The 1844-nt window shown below is 52.6% G+C and overlaps 1 annotated feature.

Annotated features, from left to right (window-relative positions):
• Window positions 730–1293: an enhancer, noted in NCBI's record as "NANOG-H3K27ac-H3K4me1 hESC enhancer chr7:87894735-87895298 (GRCh37/hg19 assembly coordinates)". NCBI's record gives its function as "activates a minimal SCP1, AML or CMV promoter by ChIP-STARR-seq in naive H9 embryonic stem cells {active_cell/tissue: H9 hESC(naive)}" and the evidence as "EXISTENCE:reporter gene assay evidence [ECO:0000049][PMID:30033119]".

The raw sequence follows: 1844 nt of genomic DNA on the forward strand, positions 1-1844 counted from the left end.
AAAAAAAAAAAAAAAATTGTAATAATACTCTTAATCTTCTCGTTTTTTATTGTCTGTTGATTTCCTATGAGAATCAACGCTTAAAATAGCTACCTACTGCTTTCTCTTTTTCCCCTACCATTCAATTTTATTAAGTAGTTTCGTTACAGGAAAGGGGTCCCTATTCAGACCCCAAGAGAGAGTTCTTGGATCTCACGCAAGAAAGAATTCAGGGCAAGTTTATTAGGAAAGTAAAGGAATAAAAGAATGGCTACTCCACAGTCAGAGTAGCCCTGGAGGGTTGCTGGTTGCCCTTTTTAGTGGTTATTTCTTGATGATATGCTAAACAAGGGGTGGGTTATTCATGCTTCCCCTTTTTAGACCGTATAGGGTAACTTCCTGATGTTGCCACGGGATTAGTAAACTGTCATGGAGCTGGTGGGAGTGCAGCAGTGAGGACAACCAGAAGTCACTCTTGTGGCCATCTTGGTTTTGGTGGGTTTTAGCTGGCTTCTTTACTGCCTGTTTATCAGCAAGGTCTTCATGACCTGTATCTTGTGCCAACCTCCTATCTCATCCTGTGACTTAGAATGCCTTAACCGTCTGGGAATGCAGCCCACATGTCTTAGCCTTATTTTATCCAGCCCCTAATCAAGATGAAGTTGCTCTGGTTCAAACAATCTGACAGTTTTGCCTTCATTTTAATCTTTATACTCTTAAGTATACTCAAAATGCTATTTGGTTTATCAGCTTCAAATGATATCCTTAGCTTACATTTTTTTTCATCAAGTATCTTTTTTTTTTTCATTTATTTATTTATTTATTTTTTTATTGATCATTTTTGGGTGTTTCTCGCAGAGGGGGATTTGGCAGGGTCACAGGACAATAGTGGAGGGAAGGTCAGCAGATAAACAAGTGAACAAAGGTCTCTGGTTTTCCTAGGCAGAGGACCCTGCGGCCTTCCGCAGTGTTTGTGTCCCTGGGTACTTGAGATTAGGGAGTGGTGATGACTCTTAATGAGCATGCTGCCTTCAAGCGTCTGTTTAACAAAGCACATCTTGCACCCCCCTTAATCCATTTAACCCTGAGTGGACACAGCACATGTTTCAGAGAGCACAGGGTTGGGGGTAAGGTCACAGATCAACAGGATCCCAAGGCAGAAGAATTTTTCTTAGTACAGAACAAATTGAAAAGTCTCCCATGTCTACCTCTTTCTACACAGACACGGCAACCATCCGATTTCTCAATCTTTTCCCCACCTTTCCCCCATTTCTATTCCACAAAACCGCCATTGTCATCATGGCCCGTTCTCAATGAGCTGTTGGGTACACCTCCCAGACGGGGTGGTGGCCGGGCAGAGGGTCTCCTCACTTCCCAGTAGGGGCAGCCGGGCAGAGGCGCCCCTCACCTCCCGGACGGGGTGGCTGGCCGGGCGGGGGGCTGACCCCCCCACCTCCCTCCCGGACGGGGCGGCTGGCCGGGCGGGGGGCTGACCCCCCCACTTCCCTCCCGGACGGGGCGGCTGGCCGGGCAGGGGGCTGACCCCCCCACCTCCCTCCCAGATGGGGCGGCTGGCCGGGCGGGGGGCTGACTCCCCCACCTCCCTCCCGGGCGGGGCGGCTGGCCGGGCGGGGGGCTGACCCCCCACCTCCCTCCCGGACGGGGCGGCTGGCCAGGCAGAGGGGCTCCTCACTTCCCAGTAGGGGCGGCCGGGCAGAGGCGCCCCTCACCTCCCGGATGGGGCGGCTGGCCGGGCGGGGGGCTGACCACCCCCACCTCCCTCCAGGACGGGGCGGCTGGCCAGGCAGAGGGGCTCCTCACTTCCCAGTAGGGGCGGCCGGGCAGAGGCACCCCTCACCTCCCGG

The sequence above is a fragment of the Homo sapiens genome, chromosome 7 (assembly GCF_000001405.40).
Source record: "Homo sapiens chromosome 7, GRCh38.p14 Primary Assembly".
Classification (NCBI taxonomy): Eukaryota; Metazoa; Chordata; class Mammalia; order Primates; family Hominidae; genus Homo; species Homo sapiens.